Here is a 20282-nt window from a genome sequence, read left to right on the forward strand (position 1 = left end):
TCTCCACTCACTGCGATCTCCGCCTCCTGGGTTCTGGCCATTCTCCTGCCTCAGCCTCCCGAGTAGCTGGGACTACAGGTGCCTGCAACCACGCCCGGCTAATTTTTTGTATTTTTAGTAGAGGTGGGGCTTCACCGTGTTAGCCAGGACGATCTCGATCTCCTGACCTCGTGATCCACCCGCATCAGCCTCCCAAAGTGCTGCGATTACAGGCATGAGCCACCGCACCTGGCCCAGAGTGAGACTCTTTCTATAAATAAATAAATAGTAAAAATTCTTCTGGTCTGGTGTGGTGGCTTATGCCTGTAATACTAGCACTTTGGGAGGCTGAGGTGGGCAGTTGGCTTGGGACCAGGAGTTGGAGACCAGCCTGGGCAACATGGCCAAACCCTGTGCCTACTAAAAATACAAAAAATTAGCCAGGCATGGTGGTGACGTCTGTAGTCCCAGCTACTCAGGAGGCTGAGGTGGGAGGATCACCTGAGCCTGGGAAGTTGAGGCTGCCGTGAGCCATGATCACTAATGTACTTGAGCCTCAGAGACAGGATGGGACCTTGTCTTTTTTTTTTTTTTTTTTTTTGAGACGGAGTCTCGCTCTGTCGCCCAGGCTGGAGTGCAGTGTTGCGATCTCAGCTCACTGCAAGCTCCGCCTCCCGGGTTCACACCATTCTCCTGCCTCAGCCTCGTGAGTAGCTGGGACTACAGGTGCCCACCTCCACGCTCGGCTGATTTTTTTGTATTTTTAGTAGAGACGGGGTTTCACCATGTTAGCCAGGATGGTCTCGATTTCCTGACCTCGTGATCCGCCTGCCTCAGCCTCCCAAAGTGCTGGGATTACAGGCTTGAGTCACTGCGCCCGGCTGGGACCTTGTCTTAAAAAAAAAAAAAAGTCTTTTTTTGAGACAGGGTCCCGCTCTGTCGCCTAGGCTGGAGTGCAGTGGCACGATCTCGGCTCACTGCAACCTCCACCTCCCAGGTTCAAGCGATTCTCCTGCCTCAGCCTCCCAAGTAGCTGGGATTACAGGTGCCCACCACCACGCCCAGCTAAAATAAACCCTCTTCTCTTAACTTGTATCCCTTTCTGAAACAAGTGAAGAATGAATAAATACTCCAAGTCTCCAAAGTTTCCTGCTTTTCCCTCTTTCTCTGTAATTCTTTCTTTCTTCTTTTTTTTTTTTTTAAAGCAGGCATCTAATTCCTTTGTAATTCTTGATTGGGAAATCTTTTTTTCAACATTAATCTATCCCTTCAAGCAGAGACAAGGGAGGTCAGGAAGGAGTTAGCGAAACCGGGCAGTGGGGGTGTGGTTTACTGAGGAATGTTCCAAGCTTAGGTGAGGCAACAGCACGTGTTTAAATCTTTTGGAGGCCAAAGGAAAAAAAAAAGAGGATAAGTTCTCAGTAGGGGCAGGCCTGTCTACCTGGGGGTTTGGGAACGAACTGGGGGATAGGCTGCGGGGGTTTCACGTGAAACCAGGAGGTCTAGAAAGCACAGGGATCCTCTCCTCAAGGAAGAACTTGCCCCCTCCCCCAAAGCCAAGAGTGCCCCTGCAGAGCGAGGCAGAGAGCAACTAAAAGAAATTTCTCCTGATTGGAGGGTGGGTGGGATGAGGCTGGGGGAGGGGGCCGGGGTGTGTGTCCCACTGTCATGTAAATATCCCTTCCAGGCAGGGCGGCTCCAGTGCAGATTTAAGCCGCTGGCACCTGGGGCAGTCTCAGTGTTCAGCCTGCTTCCGGACGGGCGAGGAGACTCGTGGTCTGGTTCTGGGACTTCCCTAACAGCATGGCCCCTAAACGCCAGTCTCCACTCCCGCCTCAAAAGAAGAAACCAAGACCACCTCCTGCTCTGGGACCGGAGGAGACATCGGCCTCTGCAGGCTTGCCGAAGAAGGGAGGTACGTTTCTGCGCTAAGTTTTATTGGAGATTTAAGGGATTTGCAAGGATTGACTCTCTGATTTTTACCCCCCAATCCCTCTTGAGATGTGACCCCTAAGCACCCCCAAAGGGTTTTAAACCTGGGATGGTGGATTAAGTTTGCGTGAAGAACCAGAAGGGACTAGACTGGGAGAACGGGAGTGCACGGGAGCTCATCCCTGCCCCCAACTCAACACTGACCCCTGAGCTTGTCTCCCCAGCCCCCAAACTTCCTCCTCTGGGGCTCCCTTTCTTGGCAAGGGGCACTGCCAGCCAGCCTGAGGCCCCTCCTTCACCCCTCCACATCCAGCCAAATCCCCGATTCCTGGTGGTTCTACCTCAGTATCTCTCAGATCTGTCCACCTCTCTCTCTGTTCTTGCTGCCGACGGCGGCCCACAACTCTGGCCTGAATCTCTGCCACCTCCTCATCTTGGCTTCCAGCTTCCTCCTCCTCCCCTTCAGCCTGAGCATAGCCAATCACGTGGCCCACTCCCCGGCTTAAACCCCTCCCTTGCCTCCCCGCGTCCTCCAGGTGCTCAGAAACTTCTCTGGCCCGCCAACCCGGTCCCCGCCGACCTCTCCTGGTTCACACTTCTGAGACTCCCCACCTGGAGGCCTCCCTCAAGGTGGTACCCTTCACCTTGACCTCTTGGGACTCTACCCTCTGATCTCGGGGCCTAGACACCCACTTGCCCTTTCCTCTCCTTACCTGTGCACCACCTCCAGCTCTCTGCTGGAAAGTCACTTCCTGTGGGCAATCTGTGAGCCCCAACACTTGGGAGTTAGGAGTCCCAGAGTCATGCTGCCTCACCCTCTTGTCATTACATTGTAACCAGCAGTTTCATGCCTGCCCTTCCCCCCATTAAACTTAGAGGTGAGGGCTGCATTTTGGGAGACGTAGCTGGAGCTGGATAGAGAGTTGACTGTTCTGGTGACTAGGTCTGGCTCATAGGGGAGGGTTGTGGTGGAGCCTTCCTGGGCTGGGTGTGGATAGGCCCAGGGCCTGCAAGGAAACGGGAAGCTTTGATTGGCTGAGGGCAGGCAACTCTTATGGAAGAAGCACTGAGGAGGAGTCCTACCTCAGGGCTCAGTGTGGACCTGTTGGCACTTTTACTGGGTCTCAGTCCCTTTTCCTCCACATGGGATGCAGAGACCTCCTGCCCAGCTTGAAACCTACCTTGCTGGGTGAGCCACATAAAACAACTTGTGCTTGTTTTCTCTTCTATAAAATGGGATCCACAGTACTGATCTCCAGGCTTGCTGTGAGTCTGAAATCTAAGGGGAGCACTAGACAGCGCCTAGCACATCATCAGTGCTCTAGAGTGCATTTGTGCGCAGCAAAATGTGGGTGAGTCTTCCTAGTTTCCTTCCAGTGAGCTTCCTGGGAGCATTAACAGGACTGGAAGGGATGGAAAGGTGTGAGGGGGTTCATCTAAACCCAAAGAACAGCTCCTGCTGCTTAGTAGGCACTGATGGCATGCCAGAAGCTGTGCCAAGCACTTCTCTATCCTCACAGCCGTATGCTGTGGACATCCCAATTTTACAGATCAGAACAGGAGGCTCAAAGAGATGTGTATGTGTCTGTGGCGGGGGAGATGTTCCAGGCTCTGGAGATTTTTTGGTCTGTGCTTGGGACACTGCAGCACTGTGGGGGAATGCCAGCCTCTCTCTGTTCCAGTCTTTCTGGCGGTGGGGTTCTGTCCTCTTCAAAGGGAGCCGGGGGCCGGGCGCGGTGGCTGACGCCTGTAATCCCAGCACTTTGGGAGGCCGAGGTGGGCAGATCACCTGAGGTCAGAAGTTCAAGACCAGCCTGGCCAACATGGCTAAACCCCATCTCTACCAAAGACAGTTAGCCAGGCGTGACGATGCATGCCTGTAATCCCAGCTACTTGGGGGGCTAAGGCAGGAGAATTGCTTGAACTCCGGAGGCGGAGGTTGCAATGAGCCGAGTTCGTGCCATTGCACTCCAGCCTGGGCGACAAGAACAACAACAACAACAACAAAAAAAAAAACAACCAGAGGGGCCAGGAGGAGAGGAGAGAGGCAAGGGAGGAATTCTGAGTGAGGGGAGAGGCCAAGAAGAGAGAATGCAGAGCTTCTGGTGTTGGAGACGGGGAGAGAGCAGAGTCCTAAGAGTGGGTGAATAACCTCTCAGTGTGCCCCCGGCTCGCCTGTGTTTACTCACACCCCTGGCCCTTTTGCTTTCTCTTTCTCTTCAACTTCCTAGTGTGCTCATATTTATCTTGAGAAGCACTGTGTGGGGAAGGGCAGGAAAAGAGGGGCAGGGAGGTGGCAGGGAGGGTTGGGAGGCCAGAAAGGGAACCTGAAAGCCCACTCCCCCATCAGAAGGCATTACAGGGTTCCCTGGGACCCCTGCAGGTGCTTGGGAAACAGGCAGATAAGGCACTTAGGAGACATTGTGGGTCAGGAGTGACCCTATGGGTCAGGCTTTGAGGATGGAAGCAGCCAGCCCTTGGCATAGTGTTCTCAGACAGACTCAGCCCAGGAGCGGGTCGTGAAATCAATTTGGTGGGGTGTGACCTGCATTTTAAATAGGAAATTAGAATCACATCACCCTTGGTAAGGGTAAGTTTTGGTTTGTGTGTGCTAGGTCATGATGTCAAAAGTACTTCTGACTGTTGGTCACATTAAAAAAACTGAGGCAGGGTGCGATGGCTAACTCTTGTAATCCCAGAGCTCTGGAAGGCTGAGGCTGAAGGATGGTTTGAGCTCAGGAGTTTGAGACCAGCCTGGGCAACATGGTGATACCTCCTCTCTACAAAAGATAAAAACAAAATTAGCCAGGCAAGGTGGCAGTGGTGCTTGCCTGTGGTCCCAGCTACTCAGAAGGCTGAGGTGTAAGAATCCCCAGAGCCCAGGAGGTCAAGGCTGCAGTGAGCCATGGTTCTGGGCGACAGAGAGAGACCCTGTCTCATAATAATAACAACAATAAAAATAGAAAAACTGTTTTAAGGTAAGGGCTTTGTCAATTGCTACTTGGTTTAGAATCTTGGTTCTGTCACTTGCAACAAAGTTTAGTTTATGCTAGGCACAGTGGGTGGCTCATGCCTGTAGTCCCAGCACTTTGGGAGGCCGAGGTGGGCAGATCACCTGAGGTCGGGAGTTCGAGACCAGCCTGGCCAACATGGTGAAACCCCGTCTCTACTAAAAAATACAAAAATTAGCTTGGCATGGTAGTGGGCGCCTGTAATCCCAGATACTCGGGAGGCTAAGACACTCACCGTGCACTGTCTTGAACATGAAAGATGCTGCTTGAGCTTTAAGAGCTGATAGTGGGCCGAGCTCAGTGGCTCATGCCTGTAATCTCAGCACTTTGGGAGGCAGAGGCAGGTGGATCACCTGAGGTCAGGAGTTTGAGACCAGTCTGGCCAACATGGTGAAAACCTGTCTCTACCAAAAAATACAAAAATTAGCAGGGCGTGGTGACTCACATCTGTAATCCTAGCAACTCAGGATGCTGAGGCAGGAGAATCACTTGAACCCGGGAGGCGGAGGTTGCAGTGAGCTGAGATGGCACCACTGCACTCCAGCCTGGAAGACAGAATGAGACTTGGTCCCCTCCCCCACCAAAAAAAAAAAAAAAAAAAAAGAGCCAATGGTAAAGTGTGAGTTCTGGAAGGCAGAATTCCAACCCCAAGTTCTGGTTAAAAATGTCCAAAGAGAGATTTCAGGTATTTTTTTGTTTTTGTTTTAGAGATAGGGTCTTGCTCTGTCACTCAGGCTTCAGTGCAGTGGCTGCATTGGGGCTCATTGAAGCCTGGAATTCCTGGGCCCAAGCGATCCTCCTGCCTTGGCCTCCCAAAGTGTTGGGATAACAGGAGTGAGCTATTGCATGGCCAGGATTTGAAATTGGCCAGCGTATCACTAAAATCAACAAATGGTACTGGCCGGGCGCAGTGGCTCCCGCCTGTAATCCCAGCACTTTGGGAGGACGAGGTGAGTGGATCACCCCAGGTCAGTAGACCAGCCTGGCCAAGGTGGTGAAACTCCATCTCTACTAAAAATACAAAAATTAGCCGGGCATGGTGGCACGTGCCTGTAGCCCCAGCTACTCGGGAGGCCGAGGCAGGAGAATTGCTTGAACCCGAGAGGCAGAGCTTGCAGTGAGCCAAGATTGCGCCACTGCACTCCAGCCTGGGGGACAGAGCAAGACTCCCGTCTCAAAACAAACAAACAAATGCTACTAATCAGGGTTTTTCTGGCTTTTTATGGTTCATGTCTTGGGGTGCTGGAGGGACAGAATGTGGGGCATCCGCATTACTTGAAAAGTATTATTTAAACAAAATGCTTTGGCCCTCCTTAGTGGTTCAGAACTTTGCCTCTCAAGTAGAACTTGTTGGCCCCTTTCATCTCTATGAACAGAACACCGCCTATCGCTTGGGGCTGTTGTGAGGCCTCGGTGAGATAACCGTGCCATGCGCTGCTGAAACTGGCACTTAACGCTCAGTATGATTCTTGCGGGCGCTGGGCACCGCGGACTAATGTGGTACCTCCCTGCCTTCACAGGACTTCGAGTTTAATGTGGCTTCAGTGTCGTAACCTTTATCATTTCATAACAGAAACGGGTTCAGAGAGGAAGGGTGACTTGCTCAAGGGTACAAGCTTGCTGGGCAGGGCTTGGACTAAAACCCAGGAATGGCCCTGCGCGCGGATTACACAGCCTGGGGCTTCGCACACGAGCCCGAGTTTGAGTCCGATCGGCAGTTCCCCATCTGGCATCCAGAATGGGGTGCCCCCTGCTTTCTCCACGAAGTGGAAGGCGCCGAGAGGCCGGGCGGAATTCGGGGCCCCCATACGAGGCCGGGCCTGCACTTTCGGGGTGGTGGGCGCCCCGCTCCCGGTGCCCCGCGGAGCAGGGAAGCCGCTCGCTCACCACGTGACGCGCCGGCCGGGGGCACCCGCGCCTCCGTGCGACGCCCCGCCCACCGGCCTGCCGCGCGCCAGTGTCCTGGGTCGGGCCGGAGAGGGGAGAGCGGGGGAGGGGACGCGGCGCGGGGGGCGGCCGTGCGTCGCCGCGCGCCTTCCTCCCACCTCTCGCCGGGCCCTGTGTCTCCGCGCCGCGACTCCGCCCCCTCATCCCGCCGCCCAGGCCAATGGCGCCGCGGCGCGAGCCTCCCCGGCCGGAGGCGGAGCATCCGCGCGGGGCCTGGCGCGCCTGCGCCCTGCGCCCGCCCCTCGCCGTAGGAGGAGGTGGAGGAGGAGGCGGCTCGGGAGAGCGAGCAGCGAGCTGGCTGGATCGCCGAGCGCGAGTGAGGGAGCCGAGCCGCCCGCCGCCGCCGCCTCCGCCTCCCCTCCGCGAACAGGAGCCCGGGCCGGGGCCCGGCACGCCGCCCCAGCCCGTCCCTCGGCGTCAGGCCGCGAGGGTAGCGCGCGCGAGCGAGCGAGGGGGAGGGAGAGCGAGCGAGCGCCGGGAGGAGGCGGCCGGACCGAGCGGGCGCCCGCGCGTGTGGCGTGAGGGGAAGCCGCTTGCCCGCCCCCTTCGCCTTCCCTTCTCTCCCCCTCCCCGCTCCCCCCCCGACCGCGGAGCAGCACCATGTCGGCGCCGGCGGCCAAAGTCAGTAAAAAGGAGCTCAACTCCAACCACGACGGGGCCGACGAGACCTCAGGTGAGAGCAGCGAGCCCGGGGGCCGGCCCGCGCCGCCATCTTCGCCGCCCGCCCCGGCCCGCAGGCCGCCGGCGGGGCCCGGGGCGCGCGCGGGGGGCGCCGGGCGGGGGGGCGCGGCGCGGCCGGGCGGGGGCCCGCGGACTCGGCGCCCTTTTTTGTGCGCGGCTGGGCTGGGGGCCTGGGTGGCCCGCGCCGCGGCGGCCGCGCTGCGAGGCGGGGGCGCTGCGGCCTGCTCGGCGCGGGCGGAGGAGACCCCCCCTTCCTCTCCCCCCTCCCTCGCTCTCCTCCCCCTCCCTCCCTCCCGAGAAGCCTCTCTTTATTGTGCTCCGCCATGATGCCTCGCTCCCATCAGCCGCCGCCGCCGCCACATGGTGCGGCCGGACGCGGCCCCGCGCCCGACCTCCCGCGCGGTTCCGCTTCGCGCCCGGCCCGCGGCGGCGCCCCCGGCACCCCCGCCCAGAGGCTGGCCCCGGCGGGGCTTCTGCCTGGAGCTCGGGTGGGGTGGGGGCGCGGGGAACACGCGGGCGGCCGCGCGCTGGGCCTTGGCCGGCCGGGAGGATGCTCTGGCCAGCCCGGGCGCACTCCCCACGTGGGGCGGCCGCCCCGTCGCGCCAGCGTGCGGAGAAACCTGGCGCCGCGACCAGTGTATCGGGGGTCTTGGAAATGGCTAAGAAAGCTGGCCTCTGCCTAGGAGGCTCTCGGCAGGGGGGCTGCCAATCCGGGATGGTTACCGGAAATGAACCGCGCGATCTGGCCCTTTCACACCCACTTAGCTTTGTAGGGGGTTTGTAGTCTTTACAGGACAAAAGGGCACCTATTCCAGAGCACACCCCCTTTTCTTCCTCTCCCTTCTGTGCCTCACTGCTTTCCGATCTCATAGTTGCTCCCAGTAAGTGCTCCAAAGTCGTGTGGGGCCGCATCTGAGGTCTGCCCGCCTGAATTGGGTTGGAGGGGTTCATGTTCTGAGAAGGCGAAGGCCAGGGTGTAGGATGGTGCCCCGTGACTTTCCAGTCTTTGTAGGCGTGCCTGGTATCTTCATCGTAATAGCAGAGTCGTCAACTTTCTATGAAAGGTGGTTTTACCTTGATAGGTGGTAGTGGTGGCCTAATTTGTATCATTGTCATGGGTTTAGTTTCCATATTCTAGTTAGCAGCTGCTACTGTTCTCTTGCAAGTGTATAATGTGAAATAATAAACGTGAAGACTTCTGAATAAGGTTATTCTGTGTCTTTCATAGTAGAAACCTTAATGATCGGTCTGTTGTAGTGAAACTCTTTAAAAAGGCGCTATAGAAAACCAATTTCTGAGTAAACCAGCAGACAGCATGACTTGTAAATGGTCTTTTAATTAATTAAAAAGAAATTAGTCAGCTACAAGCATGAACATGTGGAACGCTTGCCTTTGTACTAGGCGTTTTTGTTTTTGTTTTAATGGCTTTTGGAATATTATAGTATTAACATCTGGAAAACTAGGTAAATTTATCTTAGAATTAAGTTTTTTGCTCCTTTTTTGCAGAAAAAGAACAGCAAGAAGCGATTGAACACATTGATGAAGTACAAAATGAAATAGACAGGTAACATTTTTCTTAATATACTTCGGAGAAATTTTCTGAGATGTGTCTAATAGCCCGGTAATTATCGAAGCTATGGTCAAATCTATCCACTGTCAAAGGGGAAATGATTCTAACTTGGTTGGAAATACTTATGTAGATTCAGTGTTTTTTGGTGAAGTGATTGTACAGAAGTTTTTGAAAGTGCATTGACCTTACAAGGTTTGGGTTTGCTTTCAAAGACTGAAAATTGTCTGAATTGCAGTGTAGGTCTTCTGATGGTTTAGCAGTGTGGCATCAGTGGTTGCTCTAACTTGCCTTACAACTTTGTTATGGATTAGCCACTTTATTTAGAAATCGCGCTTGAGGGAAACAATTGAAATTGGACTGGAAATGGAGTGGGCGAAGTAAATACACACGTTACCAGAGTGTTGAGTTTGGGCACTCTTAACAGTCATTATTACTCAGTGTTTATTGATAAATCAGACAAAATTGCCATCTTAGTTTTGAGTGTCTAAATTAGGTGATAATGGTTATTATAATTTGGTTATTTTGCATGACTCAAGCTAGTAAGTAAATACACTCTGTAATCTCAACCAATTTTTTAATTTGTTAAATACTATCATTGTCAACATCTCTTTTCATTTGCTTCAGACTTAATGAACAAGCCAGTGAGGAGATTTTGAAAGTAGAACAGAAATATAACAAACTCCGCCAACCATTTTTTCAGAAGAGGTCAGAATTGATCGCCAAAATCCCAAATTTTTGGGTAACAACATTTGTCAACCATCCACAAGGTATGTTTTGGACAGGGCATTGTTAAAGGATAAACAGTGTTTGTTAGAATGGAGGAAGCTTGGTGAAGACTTAGTCCAGCATGCTGGGTTGCGTGCAACAAAGACAGGCTGGGTGCGGTGGCGCACCTGTAATCCCAGCACTTTGGGAGGCCGAGGTGGGTGGATCACTTGAGGTCAGGGGTTCGAAACCAGCTTGGCCAACAGGTTGAAACCCCGTCTCTACTAAAAATACAAAAAAAATTAGCTGGGCGTGGTGGCGCGCGCTTGTAATCCCAGCTACTCGCTACTTGGGAGGCTGAGGCAGGAGAATCGCTTGAACCCAGGAGGGGGAGGTTGCAGTGAGCCGAGATTGTGCGCTTTTGCATTCCAGCCTGGGCGACAAGAGTGAGACTGTTTCAAAAAAAAAAAAAAAAAAAAAAAAACCTCAAAGACGGGAAAAGATATACAGCTACTGCTTTCTATTCTGTTTAGGAGAAGCTATATTCTAATTGCTTGATGAAAGATAGTGACAGTCTGATATTGAGCAATTGCCTTTAGTTAATAATGGGTTTATAAAACCAAAGATGCTCACTAAGTTCGGAAAAATTTTAAAGGGATCACTTAAATTGTTGTTAGTGTGTGCCTGTTGAAAATTCAGCTGACCTGTAATTTTCTGGCCTAGTGTCTGCACTGCTTGGGGAGGAAGATGAAGAGGCACTGCATTATTTGACCAGAGTTGAAGTGACAGAATTTGAAGATATTAAATCAGGTTACAGAATAGATTTTGTAAGTATCTCTAACTTAATCTTGTTTGCCACTGTGGAAATTAATGTGAGCTTTGGTTGGAAGACCTGTTCATATTTCTAATCTTTCAATTATTTATTACAGTATTTTGATGAAAATCCTTACTTTGAAAATAAAGTTCTCTCCAAAGAATTTCATCTGAATGAGAGTGGTGATCCATCTTCGAAGTCCACCGAAATCAAATGGAAATCTGGAAAGGTATGTTTTGAGGAATTATTTGACAAAAATAGCATTTTGCCTATTTCAGTTTAGTTTTAACCACTTACAAGTGCTTGATACTTTGGTCATGTGGCTAAATACAAAACCTTAAAATATAAAACGTTCCAGTGTGCTGAAGCCAAGTATTACAGTAGTTTAGGGTTCTCATTAGATACTACAGATGTAGGCAGGAAGATCTCTTGAGCCTAGGAGTTTACCCTGGGCAACATAGACCCTTACCTTCCAAAAAACAAAAAAAAAGAGAAAAATCTAGCCCAAGTTTAAGAATTGAGAACTGGACTAAATTTTTTGTTGCTGTTGTTTTCTGCAGTGGTGACTGAGCTCTTCAAATGGCTTGCCATTTCTCAAAATCATTTACATCCGTATTTAGGTAGTAAGACATAGTTTAGATATTTATACTGTGTTGTGCTAGTGGCTGTTAACAGTGGAACTAATTTTATGGAAAACCAAATGTAGTTGATACTACCTCTACCTGCTGCACAGTTTTATAATTGCTCTTAGGTAATAATGGTAGCGTAGATAGTATACTGATATTTGTTTTGCTTAGCTTTTGGGGAAAATCTTATTTTTTAAATTATAGGGAGTTTGGGTGTTATGGAGAGATTGTATCAAAAGCTCTTCCGGTATTCATTTAGGATTTGACGAAACGTTCGAGTCAAACGCAGAATAAAGCCAGCAGGAAGAGGCAGCATGAGGAACCAGAGAGCTTCTTTACCTGGTTTACTGACCATTCTGATGCAGGTGCTGATGAGTTAGGAGAGGTCATCAAAGATGATATTTGGCCAAACCCATTACAGTACTACTTGGTGAGTTCTAATACTCATTTATTCAAGGTTGGACTTGTCTCGGTTGTTTAAAAATGAGTCCTTATATTGTGCTTTTTTTTTTTTAAGGTTCCCGATATGGATGATGAAGAAGGAGAAGGAGAAGAAGATGATGATGATGATGAAGAGGAGGAAGGATTAGAAGATATTGACGAAGAAGGGGATGAGGATGAAGGTGAAGAAGATGAAGATGATGATGAAGGGGAGGAAGGAGAGGTAAAAGAAAATTTGGCTAAACCCACAAAGATAACTTTTAAAGAATTCATGTTATTTTGGGGTGTATATATATATATATAGTGTGGTAGAACTGACCAGAACTGATTGTGGAAAAAAAGTAAGCCATTTTGTTGTTCAAGAATTAAGGAAATGTTTGATAAGCACATGGTACTAATGTTTAACTAGGTTTTTTTTGGTTTTTTTTTGGGTTTTTTTGGTTAGACTTATCACCACCCAAGCTTGTTTTTCCCTAGCCAGTACTTAGGCAATATAGGCAGTGTAGCTGGTCAAATTCTGACATCTCTGAAATAACAAAGTTTCATGTATTTTCGACAAACTGCACAATTTCTGAATAGTCAAATTAGGATAGGTTGGTTTTATTTCGGATTATTTGATCCGAAATATACCTGATTTGGTTAGAACTGAAGTTACTAATTAATCTGAAGCAACATCATCACGGGTGTTTCCTTCGATGCAGCTGACTTACAGGTTTAGAAACTGGAGTGCCCCCAGGGGCACTCGTGGGGTCCATTGTGGTCCATATGAAAGCAAGTCTCAGCATTAATCCTGAAGATTAACTGCCCACTTTTTCTTTCAGGAGGATGAAGGAGAAGATGACTAAATAGAACACTGATGGATTCCAACCTTCCTTTTTTTAAATTTTCTCCAGTCCCTGGGAGCAAGTTGCAGTCTTTTTTTTTTTTTTTTTTTTTTTTCCCTCTTGTGCTCAGTCGCCCTGTTCTTGAGGTCTCTTTTCTCTACTCCATGGTTCTCAATTTATTTGGGGGGAAATACCTTGAGCAGAATACAATGGGAAAAGAGTCTCTACCCCTTTCTGTTCGAAGTTCATTTTTATCCCTTCCTGTCTGAACAAAAACTGTATGGAATCAACACCACCGAGCTCTGTGGGAAAAAAGAAAAACCTGCTCCCTTCGCTCTGCTGGAAGCTGGAGGGTGCTAGGCCCCTGTGTAGTAGTGCATAGAATTCTAGCTTTTTTCCTCCTTTCTCTGTATATTGGGCTCAGAGAGTACACTGTGTCTCTATGTGAATATGGACAGTTAGCATTTACCAACATGTATCTGTCTACTTTCTCTTGTTTAAAAAAAGAAAAAAAAACTTAAAAAAATGGGGTTATAGAAGGTCAGCAAAGGGTGGGTTTGAGATGTTTGGGTGGGTTAAGTGGGCATTTTGACAACATGGCTTCTCCTTTGGCATGTTTAATTGTGATATTTGACAGACATCCTTGCAGTTTAAGATGACACTTTTAAAATAAATTCTCTCCTAATGATGACTTGAGCCCTGCCACTCAATGGGAGAATCAGCAGAACCTGTAGGATCTTATTTGGAATTGACATTCTCTATTGTAATTTTGTTCCTGTTTATTTTTAAATTTTCTTTTTGTTTCACTGGAAAGGAAAGATGATGCTCAGTTTTAAACGTTAAAAGTGTACAAGTTGCTTTGTTACAATAAAACTAAATGTGTACACAAAGGATTTGATGCTTTTCTCTCAGCATAGGTATGCTTACTATGACCTTCCAAGTTTGACTTGTATAACATCACTGTCAAACTTTGTCACCCTAACTTCGTATTTTTTGATACGCACTTTGCAGGATGACCTCAGGGCTATGTGGATTGAGTAATGGGATTTGAATCAATGTATTAATATCTCCATAGCTGGGAAACGTGGGTTCAATTTGCCATTGGTTTCTGAAAGTATTCACATCATTTGGGATACCAGATAGCTCAATACTCTCTGAGTACATTGTGCCCTTGATTTTTATCTCCAAGTGGCAGTTTTTAAAATTGGCCTTTTACCTGGATATAAATTAATTGTGCCTGCCACCACCATCCAACAGACCTGGTGCTCTAATGCCAAGTTATACACGGGACAGTTGCTGGCATGTCTTCATTGGCTATATAAAATGTGGCCAAGAAGATAGGCTCTCAGTAAGAAGTCTGATGGTGAGCAGTAACTGTCCCTGCTTTCTGGTATAAAGCTCTCAAATGTGACCATGTGAATCTGGGTGGGATAATGGACTCAGCTCTGTCTGCTCAATGCCATTGTGCAGAGAAGCACCCTAATGCATAAGCTTTTTAATGCTGTAAAATATAGTCGCTGAAATTAAATGCCACTTTTTCAGAGGTGAATTAATGGACAGTCTGGTGAACTTCAAAAGCTTTTTGATGTATAAAACTTGATAAATGGAACTATTCCATCAATAGGCAAAAGTGTAACAACCTATCTAGATGGATAGTATGTAATTTCTGCACAGGTCTCTGTTTAGTAAATACATCACTGTATACCGATCAGGAATCTTGCTCCAATAAAGGAACATAAAGATTTTTTTTGGACTGGGGTCATTCTCCTTGTTTTATAGAGAAATGTTACTTGCTATTGGATTCAGAAATTGTTCTAGTTTTTTGTCTTCACATCGTTAGTGACTGGGGAAGCGTGGGTTAGCGCTAATGGTATGACATTGGTTTAGAAAGCTTTGAGCTGGTCGGTGTCCGAGTAAAGGACAAATTCAAATATCTTACTTGGATACAGTTTCTGAGTAAACAGTTTCTGAGAGGGTGAGTATAGCATTTTCATTCTGAAGTCTCAAAAGGACTTTTCACTAGGAAGAAAATTGAGTACAGTGGGTCCTGTTATCTGCAGCTTCAGCTACATGTGGTCAACTACAATTCAGATACTTTGAGACTACATTCACACCTATACTGTATGTTAAATGTGTGAATGTATAGTTATAGTATACAATAGTCAAAATTATCCTATACCGTTAATCTCTTACTGTGCTTAATTTGGAAATTAAGTTTTATAGGCAGGTACAGGAAAAATTGTATGGGGCTTGATACTCCTGTGGTTTCAGGCAGCCACTGGGGCATCTTAGAATGTATCTCCTTTGGATAAGTGGGGCTACTGTAGTCATTTGAATCAATATCCACAAGCCTGTGATAACTTTCTCACAAACTTAACAGTGAAACTTAGCACAACTAGTGGTTTTACATGCTGGTGAGCGTCTAGGGCTGTCAGGTTATAGGTCACAATAACGTTTATTTTCGGGAATGTAAAAAATCGGGAGCCCTTTAAGGTAGTAGTAGTTCACTCAACTATTGTGATCTCCTGAGGTGCCACTAATATCTGCAAATCTTGTAAGAGAACTAGGCTGTGAGAAAACAAAATGGCAACCTTACTGTACCAAAAACTTCCATACACAGTAGCCAGCATGCCTTGTGTCCAACTGCAAGACAAGTTCTTGGGCTGGTCTTTAGTGTGTATTGGAATGGGCTCAGCTCCTTTTCTCAAGGACATTTGAAAATAGAAAATAGAAGTTGGGCACAGTGGCGCATACCTGTAATTGCAGTACTTTGGGAGGCCCAGGCTGAAGGATCGTGTAAGTCCAGGAGCTCTAGGCCAACCTGGATGACAGGGACATCCCAACACTACCATTAAAAAACAAACAAACAAAAAAACAGGTGTGGTGGCGCTAGGCTAATCCTAGCTACTTGAGAGGCTGGGGCAGGATTGCCTTAGCCCAGGAGTTTTGAGGCTGCACTGAGCTATGAGTTTGCCACCGTGCTTCAGCCTGGGCCACAGAGCAAGAAGACCCTGTTCAAAACAAGACAAGAGTAATAATGGCTGTTTAGGAAGGGGCTGTGTTCCCAAGCTGTGCTGTATTTGGTTTATGAGGGGTATTTAATAACTGCATGAATTAGGATGGAGGGCAGTAGCTTGCAAGATGTCCTTACATCTAGTTTCAAAACCTTAAGGAATATTCTGCTTTAGACCATCTCGGTTTTTGTTTCTCCAGTGATTTCATTTTATTTGTTTTTGAGACAGAGGTATCACTCTGTCGCCTAGGCTGGAGTGCAGTGGCACGATCTCAGCTCACTGCAACCTCCACTTAGCAGGTTCAAGCCATTCTTCTGCCTCAGCCTCCTGAATAGCTGGGATTACAGGCACGTATCACCATACCCAGCTAGTTTTCATATTTTAGTAGAGATGGGGTTTCATCGTGTTGGTCAGGCGGGTCTCAAACTCGCGACCTCACGTGATCTGCCCGCCTGGGCCTCCCAAAGTTCTGGGATTACAGGCGTGAGTCACAGTGCCCGGCCAGTCACAAGTTTACTCCTTTTTTTTTTTTTTTTTTTTTTTTTGAGACGGAGTCTGGCTCCGTTGCCCAGGCTGGAATGCAGTGGCATGATCTCTGCTCACTGCAAGCTCCACCTCCCGGGTTCACACCATTCTCCTGCCTCAGCCTCCCGAGTAGCTGGGACGACATGCACTGGCCACCACACTCGGCTAATTTTTTGTATTTTTAGTAGAGACGGGGTTTCACCTTGTTAACCAGGATGGTCTTGATCTCCTGACCTCATGATCCACCCATCTTGGCCTCCCAAAGTGCTGGGATTACAGGCGTGAGCCACCGCGCCCAGCACAAGTTTACTTTTTAATAGGCCTGAGGCAAAGGGCTGCAGAATAGCAAGGACTTTTAAAGTGGAGGGTATAGACCAACTGTAGTTGGTGACATTGTGTGCTCAGATTCTACCCAGAGACAAACCGAAATAAAAATGGACTGGTTGTAGGGCCAGGCGCGGTGGCTCACGCCTGTAATCCCAGCACTTTGGGAGGCTGAGTGGGTGTTCACAAGGTCAGGAGTTCGAGACCAGCCTGGCCAACATGGGGAAACCCCATCTCTACTAAAAATACAAAAATTAGCCAGGCATGGTGGTGGGCGCCTGTAATCCCAGCTACTTGGGAGACTGAGGCAGGAGAATTGTTTGAACCCAGGAGGCGGAGGTTGCAGTGAACTGAGATCGTGCCACTGCACTCCAGCCTGGGCGACAGAGTGCGATGGCGTCTCAGAAAAAACAAAAATTGGTTGCAACACCAAGAAGGAAAAAATTGTATTCATGGAAGGGGGAAAATGTTTCCTCATGCAGCCTGTTGACAAGTTTTAGGTTCCTTTCAGTTGAGTTATAGTCTTTTTTTTTTTTTTTTTTTTGAGATGGAGTTCTGCCCTTTTTACCCAGGCTGTAGTGCAATGGCGCGATCTCAGCTCACCTCAATCTCCACCTCCCGGTTTCAAGCGATTCTCCTGCCTCAGCCTCCTGAGTAGCTGGGATTACAGGCATGCGCCACCACCCCGGCTAATTTTGTATTTTTAGTAGAGACGGGCTTTGTCCATGTTGGTCAGGCTGGTCTTGAACTCCCGACCTTACGTGATCCGCCCGCCTCGGCCTCTCAAAGTGTTGGGATTACAGGCGAGCCGCCGCGCCCAGTGAGTTATAGTCTTTTAAAGGCCAACTGGCTAGAGAGTTGGTTTGCACTATTCACGGTCCACTAAATGCTGAACACGAATTTCCTAAGAATTCCAGTCTTATGAAGTGTTATCACTATCAGAAGTAAGGTGCAACTACCTGGTCAGACTCATCCAGCAGTCCAGGACTTGGCTTCCCTGTGTAAGGTGGTGAAAAACACTCCCCAGGTCGGGCGCGGCAGCCACACCTGTAATCCCAGCACTTTGGTAGGCTGAGGCAGGTGCATCACGTGAGGTCAGGAGTTCGAGACTGGCCTGGCCAACATGGTGAAACCCCATCTCTACTAAAAATATAAAAAATTAGCCAGGTGTGCCGAGCGCGGTGGCTCCCGCCTGTAATCCCAGCACTTTGAGAGGCCGAGGCGAGCAGATCACAAGGTCAGAAGATCGAGACCATCCTGGCTAACACAGTGAAACCCCGTCTCTACTAAAAATACAAAAATTAGCCGGGCGTGGTGGTGGGCGCCTGTAGTCCCAGCTACTCGGGAGGCTGAGGCAGGAGAATGGCGTGAACCCTGGAGGCGGAGCTTGCAGTGAGCCGAGATCAGCCACTACACTCTAGCCTGGGCGAAAGTGCGAGACTCCGTCTCAAAGAAAAAAAAAAAAAAAAAAAAATTAGCCAGGTGTGGTGGCATGTGCCTGTAGTCCCAGCTACTCAGGAGGCTGAGGCATGAGAATCACTTGGACCCGGGAGGTGGAGGTTGCAGTGAGCCAAAATTGAGCCACTGCACTCCAGCCTGGGTGACAGAGCAAGACTCTCTCAAAAAAACAAAAAACAAAGCCACTTTCCAACCAAACTTGGAAAACCATCGAATTCAGCTTCCTGCCTGCAGTGAGTGGATAAATGAGCCGGGAGTTGAGATGTGAGCACCCTCCTATGGAGAGTTATCTCAGATTACTCTTGGCTTCCAGAAGTAACATTTAGCCATCAAGGCAAATACACATTTTAAAGTGTTAATTAGCTGGCTGGACTGATTGCACCACTGGAGAATTCCTAAAAGGTGGGGAAGGCTTGTTAGTTTGATTCCTGGGTTTTTGATGAGCTGCAGTGAGAAGCTGAGGACTTTTTTACTTCTTTATTTTACTTTTTTAAGAGATGGTGTCTCACTATGTTGGCCAGGTTGGTCTTGAACTCTTAGGCCTCAAGCAATCCTCCTGCCTCATCAGCCTCCCAGAGTTCTAGGATTACAGGCATGAGCCACTGGGCTTGGTCAGCCTTTTTGCTTCTAAATGATGGATAATAACGTTCATTTAACCTCCATTTTATTTTATTTTTATTTATTTATTTTTCTTGAGACAGAATCTTGCTCTGTTGCCCAGGCTGGAGTGTAGTGGCGTGATCTTAGCTCGCTGCAACCTCTGCCTCCCAGATTCAGGTGATTTGCCTGCCTCAGCCTCCCGAGTAGCTGGGACTACAGGCGTGCGCTACCACGCCCAGCTAGTTTTTCTAATTTTTTATTTTATGTATTTTTTTGAGATGCAGTTTTGCTCTTGTCATCTAGGCTGGAGTGTAGTGGCGAGATTGGCTTACTGCAACCTCCACTTCCCAGGTTCAAGTGATTCTCCAGCCTCAGCCTCCCTAGTAGCTGGGATTACAGGCACCCACCACCATGCCCAGCTAATATTTTTTTTTTGTAGTTTTAGTAGAGACGGGGTTTCACCATGTTGGCCAGGCTGGTCTCGAACTCCTGACCTTGTGATCCGCCTGCCTCGGCCTCCCAAAGTGCTAGGATTACAGGCGTGAGCCACCGCGCCCAGCTGCCTTTTTAATTTTTTTTTAGCAGAGACGGGATTTCACCATGTTGGCCAGGCTGGTCTTGAACTCCTGACCTTAAGTGATCTGCCCTCCTCAGCCTCCCAAAGTGCTGGGATTACAGGCATGAGCCACCATGCCCAGCCAACCCCCATGTCAAAGAACCTACTATGTGCCAGGTGCTTCTGCTAATGTCTAGACCTCAACAACTCTAATGTGTAAATGTCACATTTCGCCTCTGATTATGAAATCTGGGCATGTTTCACAGAGCCAAGTTGCCTTTGCTTATATGTCAATGCCACTTGGGTGATTTCCCATAGCAGGACAACCCAGTGTTGTCCATGGCTCACCAATTTCACTTTTTTCCAGTCCATTATGAAGGAAGTGATTAGTGCAAAGCACAACATGTGGCTTCCTTCATTCAGTAAGAGCACCAGAGCCTGTCTGTTCCAAGTCACTGTCGGTATTTGACCCTTCATCACCTTCCCACCTCCTGGAGGACGCTCCTCCACGAAGTGCTGACACAACCTCCTGTAAACGCAGGATGCCAGGACGGGCTGAATGGCCCGCCATAGACTAGGCAGTGACCAGCACACCTCCCTTGGGCTGAAATAGTGGCGGCTATTTCACCAGGTGTAAATGGCTTTTCTCCCGTGTGGATGGATGGGCTTTTTAGGGTAAAGCCCTAAAAAGTGGCACGGGCTGAACCAGCAAGCTCAGTCTGAGTAAGAGATGGGCCGGAGAGAGGTCTGGTTCATTCATCTGTAATTTGTAATTTATCATAATTTTGGGTGAGGATTTACTTTTCCACAAGTATACGTTCTTTTTTTTTTTTTTTTTTTTTTTTTGAGATGGAGTCTCGCTCTGTCACCCAGGTTGGAGGGCAGTGGCAGGATCTCGGCTCACTGCAACCTCCGCCTACTGGGTACAAGTGATTCTCCCACCTCAGCCTCCTGAGTAGCTGGGATTACAGGCGCCCGCCACCACGACCGGCTAATTTTTGTATTTTTAGTAGAGACGGGGGTTTCACCATGTTGGCCAGGCTGGTCTCGAACTCCTGACCTCGTGATCCGTCCACCTCTGCCTCCCAAACTGCTGGGATTACAGGCGTGAGCCACCGCACCTGGCCTAGTATACATTCTTGTAGTGACTAATATCTAGTCTGGGCCAACCACTCCGAGGAGAGAGACAATTTTGGATTAGCCCACATTACACCAACAACGTGCGAGACAAAGAGAGACTTGAGGGGCTTGGTCGAGGAGGCCCAGCGCGTTAGA

At 49.0% G+C, this 20282-nt stretch overlaps 2 protein-coding genes across 7 annotated transcripts in view, besides 8 other annotated features; one reads left to right on the forward strand and one right to left on the reverse strand.

Annotated features, from left to right (window-relative positions):
* Positions 1-2347, reverse strand: part of DYNC2I2 (dynein 2 intermediate chain 2) — a 50808-nt gene extending 48461 nt beyond the window's left edge. For both annotated transcript variants that reach the window (XM_011519179.3, XM_047424057.1), the window contains exon 1: positions 2253-2347. The gene's annotated coding sequence lies outside the window, so the exon portion shown is untranslated. The remainder of the gene's footprint in view (positions 1-2252) is intronic.
* Positions 843-1479: an enhancer, noted in NCBI's record as "NANOG-H3K27ac-H3K4me1 hESC enhancer chr9:131445235-131445871 (GRCh37/hg19 assembly coordinates)". NCBI's record gives its function as "activates a minimal SCP1, AML or CMV promoter by ChIP-STARR-seq in naive H9 embryonic stem cells {active_cell/tissue: H9 hESC(naive)}" and the evidence as "EXISTENCE:reporter gene assay evidence [ECO:0000049][PMID:30033119]".
* Positions 1311-14283, forward strand: SET (SET nuclear proto-oncogene). 5 transcript variants are annotated; one of them, NM_001374326.1, is made up of 9 exons: positions 1311-1333; positions 1667-1894; positions 9057-9114; positions 9745-9887; positions 10549-10652; positions 10755-10868; positions 11525-11695; positions 11783-11929; positions 12528-14283. In NM_001374326.1, the coding sequence occupies exons 2-9, from the start codon at positions 1783-1785 to the stop codon at positions 12549-12551; spliced, it is 873 nt and encodes a 290-aa protein (NP_001361255.1). In that variant the 5' UTR covers positions 1311-1333; positions 1667-1782; the 3' UTR covers positions 12552-14283. The 5 variants fall into 5 exon arrangements, with proteins under 5 accessions (NP_001361255.1, NP_001116293.1, NP_001234929.1 ...); NM_001122821.2 differs by lacking the exon at positions 1311-1333 and having other exon boundaries at positions 1680-1894; NM_001248000.2 differs by lacking the exons at positions 1311-1333; positions 1667-1894 and adding an exon at positions 2959-3100.
* Positions 1480-2117: an enhancer, noted in NCBI's record as "NANOG-H3K27ac-H3K4me1 hESC enhancer chr9:131445872-131446509 (GRCh37/hg19 assembly coordinates)". NCBI's record gives its function as "activates a minimal SCP1, AML or CMV promoter by ChIP-STARR-seq in naive H9 embryonic stem cells {active_cell/tissue: H9 hESC(naive)}" and the evidence as "EXISTENCE:reporter gene assay evidence [ECO:0000049][PMID:30033119]".
* Positions 2531-2620: an enhancer, noted in NCBI's record as "active region_29088". NCBI's record gives its function as "activates an Ori minimal core promoter by ATAC-STARR-seq in GM12878 lymphoblastoid cells {active_cell/tissue: GM12878}" and the evidence as "EXISTENCE:reporter gene assay evidence [ECO:0000049][PMID:35858748]".
* Positions 3826-3915: an enhancer, noted in NCBI's record as "active region_29089". NCBI's record gives its function as "activates an Ori minimal core promoter by ATAC-STARR-seq in GM12878 lymphoblastoid cells {active_cell/tissue: GM12878}" and the evidence as "EXISTENCE:reporter gene assay evidence [ECO:0000049][PMID:35858748]".
* Positions 3956-4055: an enhancer, noted in NCBI's record as "active region_29090". NCBI's record gives its function as "activates an Ori minimal core promoter by ATAC-STARR-seq in GM12878 lymphoblastoid cells {active_cell/tissue: GM12878}" and the evidence as "EXISTENCE:reporter gene assay evidence [ECO:0000049][PMID:35858748]".
* Positions 5406-6282: an enhancer, noted in NCBI's record as "H3K27ac-H3K4me1 hESC enhancer chr9:131449798-131450674 (GRCh37/hg19 assembly coordinates)". NCBI's record gives its function as "activates a minimal SCP1, AML or CMV promoter by ChIP-STARR-seq in naive H9 embryonic stem cells {active_cell/tissue: H9 hESC(naive)}" and the evidence as "EXISTENCE:reporter gene assay evidence [ECO:0000049][PMID:30033119]".
* Positions 6569-7478: a silencer, noted in NCBI's record as "silent region_20347". NCBI's record gives its function as "represses an Ori minimal core promoter by ATAC-STARR-seq in GM12878 lymphoblastoid cells {active_cell/tissue: GM12878}" and the evidence as "EXISTENCE:reporter gene assay evidence [ECO:0000049][PMID:35858748]".
* Positions 7859-7978: a silencer, noted in NCBI's record as "silent region_20348". NCBI's record gives its function as "represses an Ori minimal core promoter by ATAC-STARR-seq in GM12878 lymphoblastoid cells {active_cell/tissue: GM12878}" and the evidence as "EXISTENCE:reporter gene assay evidence [ECO:0000049][PMID:35858748]".

Source organism: Homo sapiens, chromosome 9 (assembly GCF_000001405.40).
Source record: "Homo sapiens chromosome 9, GRCh38.p14 Primary Assembly".
Classification (NCBI taxonomy): Eukaryota; Metazoa; Chordata; class Mammalia; order Primates; family Hominidae; genus Homo; species Homo sapiens.